Source organism: Homo sapiens, chromosome 5, assembly GCF_000001405.40.
Source record: "Homo sapiens chromosome 5, GRCh38.p14 Primary Assembly".
Taxonomy (NCBI): domain Eukaryota; kingdom Metazoa; phylum Chordata; class Mammalia; order Primates; family Hominidae; genus Homo; species Homo sapiens.
Genome location: NC_000005.10, coordinates 173,707,905 through 173,724,413, shown reverse-complemented (window position 1 = coordinate 173,724,413; position 16,509 = coordinate 173,707,905). Strand labels below are relative to the sequence as shown.

General features: G+C 48.0%; 2 long non-coding RNA genes across 2 annotated transcripts in view, besides 2 other annotated features; both read left to right on the top strand.

Annotated features, from left to right (window-relative positions):
* Window positions 1-16,509, top strand: part of LINC01484 (long intergenic non-protein coding RNA 1484) — a 38,611-nt gene that overhangs the window by 21,796 nt on the left and 306 nt on the right. The window contains exon 2 of the long non-coding RNA NR_108027.1: window positions 12,466-12,568. This is a non-coding gene — a long non-coding RNA (long intergenic non-protein coding RNA 1484). The remainder of the gene's footprint in view (window positions 1-12,465; window positions 12,569-16,509) is intronic.
* Window positions 2,828-3,328: an enhancer, noted in NCBI's record as "H3K4me1 hESC enhancer chr5:173148089-173148589 (GRCh37/hg19 assembly coordinates)". NCBI's record gives its function as "activates a minimal SCP1, AML or CMV promoter by ChIP-STARR-seq in naive H9 embryonic stem cells {active_cell/tissue: H9 hESC(naive)}" and the evidence as "EXISTENCE:reporter gene assay evidence [ECO:0000049][PMID:30033119]".
* Window positions 3,329-3,829: an enhancer, noted in NCBI's record as "H3K4me1 hESC enhancer chr5:173147588-173148088 (GRCh37/hg19 assembly coordinates)". NCBI's record gives its function as "activates a minimal SCP1, AML or CMV promoter by ChIP-STARR-seq in naive and primed H9 embryonic stem cells {active_cell/tissue: H9 hESC(naive and primed)}" and the evidence as "EXISTENCE:reporter gene assay evidence [ECO:0000049][PMID:30033119]".
* On the top strand, window positions 9,451-16,341 carry LOC107984118 (uncharacterized). The gene is made up of 2 exons (XR_007059059.1): window positions 9,451-9,588; window positions 14,146-16,341. It is a non-coding gene; the product is annotated as an uncharacterized LOC107984118 (long non-coding RNA).

Below are 16,509 nucleotides of genomic sequence, written 5' to 3'. Positions count from 1 at the left end.
TTCCTGAGTTCTGTGCGCTATTGTAGCAAATCATCAAACCTGGGGATGGAACCTCTGATGTATAGCCAGTTGGTCAGAATTATAGGAGGCCCAGGACTTGTGAATGGCATCAGAAGTGGGGTCAGTCTTGTGGCACTGAGCCCTTAACTTGTGGCATCTGATGCTAACTCCAGGTAGATACTGTCAGAATTGAGTTAAATTGTAGGACATCCAGTTGGTATGAGAATATTGGAAATGGGTTGTTGGTGTGGATAAAACTTACATGTCTGGTGTAAGAAGTATTCTGTAATTAGAAATAGGTTGTACTTTCCCTAGGAATTTTTGAGTGGGAACTGAGGGAGGGGGAATGTTTCTCCCTGGTGATAGAATGTGTAAGATGTTCAACTTAAAAACCAAGAGATAACTAATTATCAGAGAGAAATTTGAGAGTTGAGACAGTCTGCCACAGGACCTTTAAATCATCTCAAACAGGCATCACCTTCCTAACTTCCTTGACTTGGGAAACCAACCATCCTGGGGCCACTCAGTCCCTGTGGCATCTATATGGCTCATTATCCATGCCCCCAGAGCACAGAGGCAGTCCGGAGCCATGGCTGAGGTGCAAGATCTAGAATCAGGATGCTTGGGCAACAGTCCCAGCCCTGTTACCTATGGTGTGTGATGCTAGACAAATCATTTACCTTCTCTTTGACTCAGTTTCCTTATCTGAAAACAAGAAGGATTATAATGGCTTCTTTCTATAAACTTGTGAGCATTAAAAGAGAGAAGATACTAGAAGGTGCCCAGTAATAGTAGGTGCTATGATGATGATGATGATGATGATTATTATTATTATTATTATTATTATTATTTGAGACAGAGTCTCTCTCTCTTGCCCAGGCTAGAGTGCAGTGGCGCCATCTCGGCTCACTGCAAGCTCCGCCTCCCGGGTTCACACTATTCTCCTGCCTCAGCCTCCCAAGTAGCTGGGACTACAGGCGCCCGCCACCACACCTGGCTGATTTTTTGTATTTTTAGTAGAGACAAGGTTTCACCGTGTTAGCCAGGATGGTCTCGATCTCCTGCCTGCCTTGGCTTCCCAAAGTGCTAGGATTACAGGTGTGAGCCACCACGCCTGGCCCGTAGGTGCTATTATTAATTGCAAACATAGTAAATTTTCTTTGTCCCTGTGGACACACTCTTTGGTGCCACAGCCTGCTGTACTAGGGTATTTCTCCATGGAAATGTGGACCACCTAGATGCCAGCCTCACTTTGGCCCCACAATGTCCTCTGAAGGCTCTACCCGCAACCCCTTCCTAGTCCAAGCCTCCCCCAGCTGGGCCTAGCATGGCGAAACCCAGAATTCCTGGCTGAGCCCAGAATCCTCCTGTTATCTGAAATCCGCCCGCAGAGAAGCCCCTCCCAGCCAGGCTGCTCACACCTCTCTCCAAGATGCCTGGCACACGCATGCACCAGCACACACAGCCTCCTGTGCACATGCACACGCATGCAGGCAAACCCCACCCCCTCACAGGCACACTCCTCTTTATAGACACAAATTAATATGTTCAACAATTATATTCATACCCTTGAATTTAGACCTCATACTTCCACTCATATGCACCATACTCTCCTTCATTGAGCACATGGATACAGGATTATCCATAAATGCAAGTGTCACAGCCACGCACTCACGCATGCCCACGCACATGTGCTCGTGTGCGTGTGTGCACACATACACACACACACCTGCACATGATTCTGATGTGGGACAGAAGTTGACTTTCCTTGGGAAGGACTGGTAGCCCAGACTGTGCAGTCAGGAGGGCAGGAGGAAGTTAGCCAATGGGCAGTGGGCTGGGTAGCGGAGGATACCCTGGCGGGAACTGAAAGGTACTTCCGTGGTGGACAGAGGTGGTTCTGTTTCTTAGTTACTCTGAGAGTACCTTTTGCTGAGTGCTCCCTCCTGGCCAGCCCTGTGCTCAGGGGCTTTAGTCAAAAGACCTTCTTGGGGAGGACTTCCCCAGCATCCCAACACGAGCTTGCAAACCCCCCACGTTACCCACACAGAATCACATGAATGTCCCCTCGCCCTCAGCTTGCCTTTCCCTCCCAGCACTTATCAGCCCTAAAACACCGATGCTGTTACCTTAAAAAGGTTGTTTCCATTGTTCATTCCTTCCCTCTAGAATATACTGCTTCCTAAAAGCAGGGCTTTTTTTTTTCTCTGATATGTTCCCTGCTTAATTTCCAATACTACAATGCCTGGTTCATAGCAGGCAATCAAGAAACAAGTGGTTTTAGGAATATCTTGTTTCATACTCTGTACAGCACCCTGAGGTAGGTGCAGTTCAGAGCCTAGTCTTACAGAGAGCAGAGGCTCAGAGAGGGTAAATGACATACCCACAGGCACACAGCTCCCAAGTCACCACCAGGTTCTGACGCAGGCAGGTTAGCTCCAGAACCTGGGCTATCAGGGCCATGGTCTACCTCACCAGCGTATGAGAACAGGGAAGTTCACTACCCTTATCTGGACTCGGTTGCTCATCGGCAAAATTCAGTTCGACGCTATATTCTTTCATGTTTCATCCAGCCGGGGGATGGTGTGATTTCACGCTTCACGGGAGTAAAGGACTTGATGCTTGCCAAAGCATTTCCAAATAGCTTACCTCATTTCATTCCTACAACCCAGGCTTTCCCAAAGGTTCCTTTTGGCAAGGAGCCTTCCTGAGCCTCAGGAAGGTGAATACCTGGCCTGAGGTCCCATCCTCGGGAGGGGTGGGGCCACCCTTGAGCAACTGAGTGTCCCCAGGGCCCTGGGTTGCCAGAATGGCATAGACTTCTTCCAGCCCCCTCTGTCCAGGGACAAGTTTGGTTTGCTTCCCCAGAGAATTATCAATGCTTGCTACCTTCTCTTCTCTCTCCTGTCTTTCATTCAACTTATTAATAATATCAATGAGTATCAATATCAATGAATATCAATATCACCTACTAGATGCCAGGCACATCACTGGCCACTAGGGCTGCAGCTCATCTCTGTCTCCATAAGCTTGCATTCCAGGGGAGGTGCAAACACAGCCTGATGTGGTGAGTGGGCTGATGGCAGAAGTTCGGGAAACATTAGGGGTGCATGGGTATGGCCCCCAAGGGTCCAGGAAGGCTTCTTTCCCCAAGGAGGAGGTGATGCCTGAACTGAGACTAGCAGATTTGTAGGAATAAATTAAGCGACAGTTGGGGAGGGTGTCCCTGGCCGAGGCCCAGAGGTCAGCAAGCCAGGCCATCGGGAAAACTCACCCCACCCACCTATCCACTCTGGGACTCAACCCTGCACAGTCAGTGCCTCTGGAAGCCACCGACTGTTGTCGGAAGGGAGCTCCTTCCAGTACCATCGAAGGGCTGGCTGCTGCTGGAGCTTCTCTGGGCCCTTCCAGCTTCCCTGCTGCCTGGCCTACCTCCTCCATCTCCAGGGAAGCAGGATTCATTCTAGGCCTGATTTATTAGCCTCATCCTGGAGTCATCCCAGATGCTGTCGCTGGTCTCATTTACTGACCTGCCTGAGGGTGGAGGAAGGAAATTCATTAGGCCTGCAGAGCCCATGGCCAGGCCCATCTGTCTGGGCATCTGCCTCCCCTCCCCTCCCCTCCCCTCTGTTCTGCTCTCTTCTTCCTTTCTCTCCCCTCCCCTCTTATTCTCCCCCCGCCCCACAAAGGAAGGAAGCTCTGTGCCTGAGTCTTCGCTCGGGATTACCAAGGCAGTGACACTACAGAGCCAGGTCCCCAGGGGAGGATCCTGACCAAGGAGGAAGGGAGGCACAGAGGTCTGGAGAAACTCCTGTGCAGCCTCCAGCACTGCACCCTGAGGCTCCCCCAGCCTCCTGCCAGATCCAGGAAACACACATTCTCCATCTGGGGATTTGGAAAGCTCTCTCCCGGGTACAGCAGACCTGCCTGTTTTTATGCAAAAGGTGTCTTCCTGGGCAAGTTGTAAGAAAATAAGATCTCCTGAAATAGATTGCTACCTTTAAAACAGAAGGCAAGAGGCAGCCTCGGAGGCATTTTCATTCCCGACACAGGGCCAGCAAGGCGATGTGAGGGAACAGAGGGCTCAATGCTTTTTATTTTCATATGTTTTAAGGATATAAAAATATATATAAACTTATAATTAGCATATCTAACCCTTGATCACACAAGATAAAATTGCTTTGAATAAAGCTAAAATAGGTACTTACGTTTCTAGAAGCAGATCAATTTAAAGAAAAGCGTAAGGAGAGTTGCAGAAGAGAGTTACAGAGGAGAGTTACAGAAGATACACAGTGGTTGACAAAGACACTAGAGTTTAGGACACATTACTCTGAAAGAGTAGGTCAGCGAACGCATTGCCAAGGTTAAACTTCTTGTGAGATGAAGCAAACCTTGATTTCAGCAGCGCATCTCACGGAGGGAAGCTGCAACCCCGGGTACCTTGCCAAGCCGGCACCTGCTCCCCTCAGCCTGCAGAACAGAAGCCATCCAAAACAGATCGCATGTGTGCAGTGACCCCGGAGGTTTAAACAAACATGGCCTCAGGCCTCAGTAAATGTTTAGCCTTAGTGACTGGCTGGCAGGGGGGTGAGGCCTGAGGCCCTCTGTCCCTGACAGCTGGCACTGTGGGGGCAGGCTGGGGCGGTGAGGGTGGGGAGTGAGGGCCTGGGTCAAGCTCCTCGCCCTGTGCTCATCTTTTCTGACCTAAGGAGAGGCTGACATTCTTGGAGGCTGAAAGAACACATGGAGAGCAGTGTTTTTCCAGCTTCTGTGTTGGTAAGAGCCTGGAGTCTCTCTCTCTGTCTCTCTCTCTCTCTCTCTCTCTCTCTCTATCACACACACACACACACACACACACACACACACACAGAGCAATCACTGCACCCAGCCACCTCTATATACATGTACACAAAGCCACACAGTTTACACAGTCACAGGTATTTAAGTACACACTATTCACACACAAATACATATATAGACACACATGTACAGTCCGTCCAAAATATATGTACATAAAAGCACACTATTACACCTTCATATGTGCACACACACACACACCCAGACTCACTTCATACACACATAGATACAACAGCCACAGCTCCCCATCACCTACACACACACACACACACCTGGACACCCAGCTCTAATATAATCAGATAGAGATATGCATGCAGACAAATTTGCCTGTATAGTCAAACACATAGGCAAATAGAGAACGAGACACCACATGAACAAAGGCAAACCTACACACAAAGACACAGAGCACACTTACGCATATATCTATAGACCCACCATGGCACATATGGGTAAGTGCACACAGGCAAACTCACACACACGAGCATGCACAGGCAGAGAACACAAATGTACACTCCCAGGTGTCATAAAGAACAGCCCAGCTTCGGCTTGGGAACGTCACATCAGACAATAGGAACGGCTGCACCGCGCGTTTCCTCGGCTGCCAGCTTCCCAGCCACAGAGGATGCCTCACCTGCTATGTCAGCTCCCCTCTGCCCCACCTCACAAGAAGCTCAGAAGCTGAGGAGTCACAGAGAGACCTCCCTACTGTGTCAGAGGTAGGTAGGCACGACCAAGATCACATCCAGGCCGTTCCCACCCACCAACTCTTTGTCATGAGGTTTGTATCAGATGCCCTGTCTGCTGCTACAGCACAGAGCCAGCTGGCCTACAAAGACCATTCGGTGTAGTGAAGTCAAGCAGACCTGAGGTCAGGTGCCGCCTCTGCCCTCCACAGCTGTGGACCGTGAGCAAGTCACTTCACCTCTCCGAGTCTCAGTATCCTCACCTGTAAAGTGGGTGTAATAATAACACCTAGCTCAAAGAAGAGTGTGAAGGTTAAATTAGTCCTGCATGTGCTGACCACTTAGCACAGCTCCCGTCGTGCCGGAAGCACCCTATAAACCAGGCATTTGTGAGAAACACGGCACTATGGACATTTTGAGCTGGATAATTTTTCGTTGTGGGAAATTAGCAGCTTCCCTGGCCATTACCTGCTAGATGTCATTAGCACCCCCTTCCGAGTTGTGACAATCAAAAGTGTCTCCAGACATTGCCAAGTGTCCCCTGGGGAGGGGGGCGTGGCACAAGAGCTGCCCCGCTGAGGGTCACTGCTATGCATGTTGACTTTTATTATTGCTGTTGGCATCATCATTGCTAATACACTGGCTATGAGATGCTCAGAACAAAAAGGGAACCGGAAGCTGGAATGAGGATAAGCTCTGGGTGGCTCCCGTAGTCATTTCCTGCCTCTTTCCTCCTCCCTCCCGCTTTCGCCACCTTTGCTGCTGAAGCCACCTTGCAGGGCCAGGCCTGGCCTTGTGAGCAGCTGGAGGGAAGAGAGTTGAGGCACCCGCGCACGTTACTGTGGGAATGGAACTGAAATGGCTTCCCATGGGTGGGTAGTCTGGCCAGGCGCAATTCTGCACCTGGAAACTGGGCCTCCTGGGAAGTTAGGATGGACCCCACTTCTGGGCAATCTTGGGTGGGGCTGCGGGGGAAGGGGGCTGGGGAAATCAGGAGCAAAGAAAGCTCAGGACAGCAAAAGGGCAGAATACGTGACATGTTGAAATAACCTAGCCTCATCTATTAAAATACAAAATGCATGTATCTTTTGACAAAGGGATCCCTTACGTGGGAATCTGTCCTATAGAACAACAATCATTTATACGATTTGTAAGTACAAGGTGTTACTGCAGTACTGTTCATAGTGGCAAAAATCTAAAAGCCACCTTTGCTTGTCTGTCAGCTGGGGAATAATTGAATAAATTGTGGGTCACCCACACAACAGAATATTTTGCACCTGTTAAAAAAAGTTTTCTACATATGCAGTTATCTGGATTAATGTCCAGCACATAATTGTTAAATGAGAAAAACAAGATACAGAATACTGTAGGATCCCACTTTTTTGGTAAAAATCAACTAAGAAGCCCTATTTTTTGTATGTGTCTGAATATGAGGACAACTAATATTAGTTGCTGGAAAGAAAGGTAGAATGAGATGAATATGGAGAGATTACTTTTCATATATGTGTGTGTATAAATGCATAGACCTATGTGATTATCATATGTTTTATGCATTGTTATGAGTGCAAGCTACTTCACTAATTTCTGCAGAGGAATTTAATAAGGAGTTGTTATTTTTTTTTCTTTGAAAGAGAGTCTTGCTGTCACCCAGGCTAGAGTGCAGTGGTGCAATCTAGGCTCACTGCAACCTCCGCCTCCCGGGTTCAAGAGATTCTCATGCCTCAGCCTCCTGAGTAGCTGGGATTACAGGCACACACCACCACATCCGGCTTATTTTCTGTATTTTTCATAGAGACAGAGTTTCACCATATTGGCCAGGCTGGTCTCGAACTCCTGATCTCAGGTGATCCACCAGCCTCAGCCTCCCAAAGTGCTAGGATCACAGGTGTGAGCAACCGCGCCTGGCCAAGGACTGTTTTTAAATGAAAAGGAAAGAACTCATTCCTGAACCCATCTCTCACAGCGAGGTTTTAAAGCATGGTGTGGACTCCTTCACTCGTAAATAGGTTCAGCAATTCTATCTTGAGAATCTGCTATGTGGTGGGCACAGCTCTGAGCACAGTTAACCCAACAGGTGAAAAGATGCATCCCTACCCCAAAGCACTCACCTTCTGGTGGAAACACAGAGAACAGAGGAACACATCCATGTATAAGGCATTGGGAGGTCATGTTTACAAGAAAAACAGAGCAGGGTGAGGTACAGCCAGGAGTGGTGGCCTGTCTTCTGGACAGGGTGGTCAGAGAAGATCTTGGGCACAGACCTGAACAGACTGAGGGATGGAGGAGCCTGGGGAAGGAAAATCCAGGGAAGGGTGACCCTCCAGAGGGCCTCTGAGGGTGAATGTGCAGAGGCAGAACGTGCCTGAAACGCTGAGCAACCAGGAGGTCCGTGCAGGAGCTTGTGTTATTTTGGTGCAGGAGCTGGTGTTATTTCGGTGCAGGAGCTGGTGTTATTTCAGCATAGGAAGGACTTTGAATGTCATTCTAGGGGATTTGTCTTAGAAAAACAGGTTTCATCATTCCTGGACTTGTTCAAGACTGCGGTCAGCCCAGGCTATATCCTGGAGGGTCTGAGCAGAGGTTCAGCAGAGGTCCTGGTGGGCTCCAGGCAGGAACTGAAGGTGCTGAGCAAGACCTTGGTCATTCGTGCGAATGAAAGCCACAGTGGGGTACCCCAGAGGTTTGAGCAAACATGGTTTAAACCTCTGCAGAAATTAACGAAGTCACGTACACTCATAACAATGCATAAAACATATGATAATTACATAGACTTATGCACTTATCCACACACATATATGAAAAGTAATCTTTCCGTATTCGTCTCATTCCACCTTTCTTCCCAGTTGGATGTGGTAGAACAGACACTGCTGGTGGGAGAATCCTTGTGGAGCGAGCCCTTTGGCAACAGTTGGTGATTCCTAGTCAAGCTGAACATGCGCACACACTGGGATCTACCACTGCACTCCTAGGTGTGTCCCCTCCAGGAACTGTAGCATTCCAGTGCCAGGAGACCCACACAGCCTGCGCACAGCAAGATCATTCAAGATAGCAAAACCAGGAACAGCCCAAATGTCTACAGAGAGTAGAATGTGTGAGAAAACTGGGCTACCTTCCTCCGGGGCAGTACGATGCAAGCAGTGGCAATGAATAAGTGGCTGCTGCAGGCACGGGCTTGGGTGAATCCCAGATCCTCACGTGAATATAGGAAGCAAGTCACAGAGCACAGAGAGTATGATTCCATTTGCACAAAGTCCAAAACCAGACAAAATAGCTAGACTTTGTTTAGAAATCCATAAATAGGTCATAAAAGTATACAGAGAAACAAGGGAGTAATTGACACAAAATTTTTTAAAAAGTGTTGTAGACTGTAATTTTTTAAGTGAAAATGGTTGATATTTCATTGTATGACTCATTTAAACAGAAGCCAAAATGGATGAATGTCTTTTACTTTGTCGTTGTTAAGTAGGTGATGAAGGTGAAATTGTCAGTGGATGACATTAATCCTTCTCTCTCCACCGTTTTCCATAGGATTGTAGGTTTAAAGCAAAAGAGTGTTCCGTGGGATTTTCCATGGGATTGTAAGTTTAAAGCAAGAAAGTCAATACTGATGATGCCTTGAAATAAGTTATACAATTATACCCATTTCAGAGATGAGCAGAATGGGGCTCAAAGAGGTGACAGCACTTACTCAAGGTTACCCGGGATTCAGATCCACATTGGTAGGACTCCAAAGCCAGAAAGAACTTGACATATTTGAGGAACTGAAAAGAGGGCAGGGGTGGCGGGAGCACAGTGTGTGAGGGATAGCAGAAGGATTTGTAGGTCATGGAGGGAAGCTTGCAACGTTATTAATGGTGCCCTAGGGAGTCACCAAAGGGTTTTTAAGCAGAGGAGAGACAGGGCCAGATCTGCATTGTATAAAAACTTCTCTAGCTGCTGTGTCACAAAGATACTGGAAAGGGGCAAGGTGAAGGAGGAGACCAGCAGAGCAGCCACGGCCGGGACAGTGCAGAGGAGGGAAGATGACACAGCTGTGAGACATTTTGGGGTGAGTCACAGAATTTGGCAATGGACTGAATTTGAGACTTGAGGTAAAAGAAGAGGTCAAGAATGACGCCAGATTTTTGACTTCAACAGCTGAGTAGAAAGAGGCGACATTTGAAATAACTGAAGGAACGGCAGTCTGTGGGGACACAGGCCTGGGTGCTCAGAGTGGCACACTTTAATGCAAATGGCCTTCTGCTTTCTGCTCCAGTCCCCGCACTTAAGGAAGGAACAGCCACTGAGCTGTATGAACAGCCACCCCTGCCCTCCAACAGAGGCCCTGTTCTTGACATGCTCGTGCACCTCACTTTTCTCCTGGGGTGAGTTCTTTCCTCTGCTCTTCTGCTGACTGACACCTAGTCGGCCAGTCCAGGCCTGTCTGAAGCCTTGGGTGAGACCCCTGGTGCATCTCATGTTGTTGATTCCTCTGGCCTTTTGCTAAGTCCTCTACTCCTCTGCCTTTTATAAGGTCGAAGGGAACTCTAAAAAATCTATACTGGCCCATCAGCTGCAAAAATTAACTGTTTGGATCTCTTAGAATTTGGGTGGTACATGAAGAGCAATAGAAAACACTCCCCTTTCCTGGAGCATTACCTGAATTATTTAATAAGTTGCTTTCACTGGAGTCAATATAGTACCTAAGTCAAAGGCCTTTGAAGTCAGACAGGTGTGAGTTGGAATCCAGCCTCTGCAACATCAATAGCTGTGCGATCCTGGGCAAGGGACTTAGAGTGAGTAACACAGGGTCTGGCAGATAGGAGGACCTCAATCAACAGAAGGTGGTAGTGATCTGGGAAAATTGTAAAAGAAGAGACTTTTGGCTGGAAGAGCCAAGATCTTGCCGCCATTATATAGGTGGAGGAACGGAGGCCTGGAAACATTACAGGGTTTGCTCAAGGACCCACATTAGAGGTGGAACTCTACCAGGAGTTAACGCCACAAATGACTCCCAGCCCTGTTCTCTCTCCAGACCCCCTGGGGAAAAGCCGCAGACATGAGTGAAGGCAGCAGGACCTGTGTGACGTGGGTTTTCAGTTGATTGCAAGGTTGCTGGGGAGCAGAGGGACCCACTGCAGTCCCACAGGCTGGATGGTTTTGTTTTATTACACAGGGTAAAATCTGAACTAGCTGCTACTATTTACATATCAGGAGGTTTCCTGAAAAAATCAAAATTTCTGAATTTTTTTGAAAAATCAGAAAACATGGCCACCCAGCCCTGTATTCCTACAGGGTGGCAGTAGTGGGAGCTGACCTGCTGCTGTGCCCTTGTGGATCTGTGCTCTCCAGTTTGCCACAGTCCCTATCCCTCTCTATTGTCTCCTGGACACTATAGCCTGGTGTCACCTGCAGCTGGCTATCATGCTTGAGCTATTGTGTTTTGAATATGTGGTCCACTTTCCTCATTTGTGTGACCTGCTCTGTCCACAAAGACATGCACTTGCGATTCTGGCCTTAGAGTGTCTCCTTAAAAAAATGTTTTAGAACATAAAGATATATACATTCTCCAATCCATTGCTGCCCTATTAGCTATTGTTGTGGAACCCTGAGTCATTTCTCTCAAAATTCTCCTGGCAAATATGTTCCCTCTGAAATCTTCCTCCCCACATCCATTTGGAAATAGAAACTCCTGCCCACGGCTGTAGTGGTCCCTTTCTCTGCATCCTCCACTATTCCTCTTCTTTTGGATCTTGCCAAGGGTTATGGTCTGCAGTTTTCCATGCCTTTTCCTTTCCCCACCCTACCCCCCTCGCCTGCTCGCAGGGCCACTCCTTCTCTCCACATCGTGGAAACCTGGCCCTATGCTCTGCCTCGCTGCAGCTCTGCATGGCTGGCCCTCCTTTCTGCATCCGGTGGGCAAGAGGAACCAAAAACAGACATTTACAGGGAGCGGGGGATGGGGACAGGTCAGGTTTCTTGAGTTTCTTGGAGCAGGAATGTCAGTCACCAACCCTGTACCCTTACGATTCGCTCTGGACAGTGGCATACTAAATCTGTACTTGCCTCCCTTTCACTTTCAGAGATGAATAAACAAGCATGTCCTGCCTAAGATGTTTGGGGCCTCTCCTCTTTGACTTTCTATTCTACTGCCTCTGTTTAGACCTGTGCCAACTTGCAAACTTGCCATGGCCTCCCATCCAGCCTCCCTGCTTCCAACTCGCCCTCTCCTGTCCCTCTTCCACCCTGCCTCAAGCTTGATCAGGTCTCCCATCTGCGTGAATCCCATCAAGAGCTCCCTATTACCTTCAGAGGGAAGCCCAGGCCCTTGGCCAACCAGGCAGGGCTCACCTAACTTCCCAGCCTCATTGCTCATTTCTCCCCACCAGCACTGGCACTCAGTCTCGAAAGCCAGGAAGCTCTCACCCGGTTTTTCTCCTTGCCCTCATTTTTTTTCTCTATCAGAAAAACTTCTCTCATCAGGATGGAGTTGGGGAGGGGGCTACTCCCACTGATCCTTCAGGAATCAGTTTAAACACCACCTCCTCCCCACCCTTTGTCTGACTGCTTGTCTCCACCAAAGCGTTTAGATTGTTTTGTTTCTCCTCTGCTCACACCTCTGCTGTGGCCTGCCTGGTTGCACAGTTTACAGATCTGTCTCCCCCAGACTCTGAGGCCTCAGGCAGAGACCCTCTGGCTCATCTCTGTGTCCTCAGAACATGGCCCAGGATCTGGCATGACGACAGCCTAATACAAGCTTGAGGAATTGAGTGATGCAGTACTGAATTTCAGCAAAGACATAGAGAGGTTGTTCATAAAAGGCTGTCCTTGGGTTTTTTGAAATATGTTTCCTGCTTCATAGAAGCAAGGACCATTCTTCAAGAAGATGACCATGGGCCTCTCTCCACCCTTGTCAACCACAAGGCCCTTTCTATTCCTTTCACAGGAATAGGTCCTTCTGTCACGGGGCACAGGACCCTTGACCGCAAAATGACGTGAGTTACCACTGACTATTTTCTGGGTCTTGATCTTGTGACTCCAAATGGATGGTAAGCTCCTTAAGGGAAAGTCTATGATATTCATCCAACCACCCATCCATCCTTTCATCCACCCAACCATCCATCCATCTGACCATCATCCATCCATCCATCCATCCATCTATCCATCTTCTATCCATCTGTCTACTCACCCATCCACCCATCCATTCAATTATTCATCCATCCCTCTTCCATCCATTCACCCATCTTCCATCCATCTGTCCACCCATCCATTCCACCATTTATCCATCCAACCACCATCTATTCATCCAACCACTCGTCTATTCATCCCTCTGACCATCCAACCATCCATCGATTTGTTCAATTATTTTATCAAGCATCTACACTGCACCACACACCCTAATGGGTGTTGGGGAGAAAATGGAGAGTAAAATCAGATGGGACCTCTGACCTCAGTGCGGCTGACCATCAGTCCGGTAGAGGAGACACGTAAACTGACAATTATAAATAAACACAATGTGTCAACTCTGACAAGTGCTGTGAGGGAGAAATCAGCAGTACTGAGAAAGCCTTTATGGTCCTGGTGTGAGAGGTGGGATGAGCCCAACACAGCAACAACAGCAAGACCATGGGGGAGTGTGGTGCAGATGGGCAGGTGTACAGAGCATGCAGGCCATGTCTGCCAGCCCTCTCTTTGTGCATTAGCAACAGTAAAACGGGGCTTGTGTTTGGGCAGATTATACCACTGGTCTTGCATCCCAAATGTCTCTTTGTTCACTCGTTTATACAAACATGCTCAATAATATTTATGCATTTTTACTGTGACATCATTTTCTTATATAATAAAAGTGCCTATTTATATACCGTATATGTATATATATAATACACAGATGCACACACACAAGCACACATGCACAGAGCTTCTTGACAGTCAGTCCCTCATAAGGTAGTCCACTGAAGTGCAGTCATCACCATCCTCAGACCTCATGATTATATAACTAGAGCACCTTATATTTTTATATTTTATTATGTATTTAATAATCACATAACTCTTTAGTGAATGCCAATTAATTAGGAGAATGACATGCCTTCTCTCTGCTCCTCATAATATCCCCCTTAGATAGGTTTTATCTCCCCACTTACAAGATGTGGAGACTGGGCCGGGCACGGTGACTCACGCCTGTAATCCCAGCACTTTGGGAGGATGAGGCGGGTGGATCACATGAGATCAGGAGTTTGAGACCATCCTGGCCAACATGACAAAACCGTCTCCTCTAAAAATACCAAAATTAGCTGGGACTGGTGGCACGTTCCTTTAATCCCAGCTACTCGGGAGGTTGAGGCAGGAGAATTGCTTGAACCCAGGAGGCAGAGGTTGTAGTGAGCCAAGATCGTGCCACTGCACTCCAGCCTTGGTGACAGAGCAAGACTCTGTCTCAAAAAACAAACAAACACACAAAAACAAAAAAACAGAAAAAAACAGACTTGGAGACTGAGGCTCTGAGATGTGAAGTCACTTGCAGACAGGTCAGACAGCCAGGTCAGGTCAGACAGCCAGAAGCTGGGGAAGGCAGCGCTGGAGCTAGGTCTGTGTGACACCTCCTCCATCTATCCTGCCCCCTCTCTAGCATTTTAGGACCCAAAGGGACCTAAGAGAGTGCTCAGACAGCTGGCTGCGTTAGGAGCTACCTGTGGCTGCTGAAGAAGAGTTTGCGTCAATTTAAAGAAAGAGCCATTCAAGGAATGAGGACCATGACCTTGGCTGCACTGACCAGCTGGGCTCTGGAGACTCAGTGAGGCTGCCCAGCCACCAACAGGCCCTGCACAATAGATCCACGGACCCAGCAGTCAGAGGTGACCCTAGGGGTCACTGGCCCGTGGCTAAGGAGGAGGAGCACAGACCTGCGACCCCCTTTTCCCATGGACCACCCAGGGAGGCTGAGCGGGGACTCTGAGCTCAGATGGACAACCTCAGAGCCACTGGGAATTTGCCTGAGGCCACTGGGGCCAGGGTTAAATCCATATGAAGCAGCGCGGGCTGTGCACCTGCCATTTTCTAGGCTCTGTCACATGCATCTTTCTGCCAAATCTCATGGTGATCCTTCAAGAATAGTACTATTAATCTCCCCATTGACAGAGGGAGAAAGGGAGGCTCAGAGACGTTAAGTGTCTCACCAAAGCTCACACAGCTTCCAAGCAATAGAACTTTACTCAGTACTCAGTACAGGTTAACATTTATTCATTCACTCGATAACCATTTGCAGCACAGCTACCATATGCCAGGCAGTGTTCTAGGCACTTAGAATACATAGATGAGCAAAACAGGCAAAACCTTTCCCTCAGGGCGTTACCATTTGAGTGCCACCATGCCACGGCTGGTACAGTTGCTATTGAGACAAACAAAATAAGACCCAGTTTTTGCCTTTGGGGAGTAGGTAGTCTAGTGGAGGAGGCACATACACAGAAAATTCCAAAGTACTGTGGAAATCTCAGGGTACTTTGATAGGGATTACCAGAGGAGCTGTGAGAATAAAGGCTGGATATCAGGGAAGGCTTCCTGGAAGAGGTGTTGCCTGAAATGAGCCTGGAAGGATCACTTAGGGACAGAAAAGTCATTCCGTGTAGAATTCATGGTGAGTGACAGAGCCTAAACCCAGTCTCTTTTGCATGCTGAGCACTGAGACCCAGACGCTGGTGCTCAGACCTGATGACTTATTTTCCCAGGTACAGCTTGAGCAAAGACACAGAAGCAGAAGGCAGGTTTTTGGTTCCATGAACTCTACATCTGGCTACATACAAATGGTGAAGAGGAACAGGGAGAAACATGGTTGAAAAGAACAGGCTTGGACTTCAGGAAGCAGTAAAATGAGCGAATGCCATTTATGGTTACAAAGATAACTCAGCTGGGGGCCAAACAGAGACTGAAATGGAGTGGGTGAGGATGGAGGCCGGGAGGAGATGGCTGCAGAGGTCCCAGCAATGACAGTGGTTGTGGGAAGGGGCAACCCCAAGTCTTGTGCTCCCAACTGCAAATCCAGTGCTTTTTCTAAAAAAATATTTAAATAATTTATTTATTTTTGAGATGGAGTCTCGCTCTGTCACCCAGGCTGGAGTGCAGTGACACAATGTCGGCTCGTGCAACCTCTGCCCCCCGGGTTCAAGCGATTCTCCTGCCTCAGCCTCCCAAGTAGCTGGGATTACAGACGCACGCCTCCACGCCTGGCTAATTTTTTATATTTTTGGTAGAGATGGGGTTTCACCATGTTGCCCAGGCTGGTCTCGAACTCCTGACTTCAAGTGATCCACCCACCTCGGCCTCCCAAAGTACTAGGATGACAGGCGTGAGCCACTGTGCCCAGCCTTATTTTTTTTTTTAATTTATATTTTCAGAGGCAAACGATCCTTGCTCATTAAAAAAAGGAAATAGAAATTCAAAACAAAAATGCCTGTATCTGATGGGAAAGATGAGCCCAATGTTCTTTTTTAAAAAACCTTTATTATGAAATATTTCAACTGAACATATGCAGTTTATATTGTTATAAAGCATAACAAGCAATCAAACAGCTGTGAACCCACCACTCCATGTCAGAACTAGAACTTCCCAAAGCAGTCGGAGCTGAGGTGAGATCCACTCTGATGCCCTTCCCCAACTCCACGCCACCCCCCAAGACCTGACCACCTGATTACTCTGGGATTTCATTTTTGTCTCGTTCCCTTGCTTTGCTTTATGTCTTTACCAAATGTGAATGTGTGCCTAAACAATACAGTGCTCGATTTGCTTGTGTTTAAGCTTTATTACAAATATAACTTTGATCCTTCTGCTACTTGCAATTCTAAATTTGATATTACGAGTCTCAGCCTCATCGGCGTTGATGCGTGTGACCGACATTGATTCACTCTCACCAGTACGTGGTGTGTTCCGTTGCATGCATGCACCCCTGCTGGGGTATCCATTCTCCTGTTGGTGGACCTTTGGGTGGTATTAGTTGCTG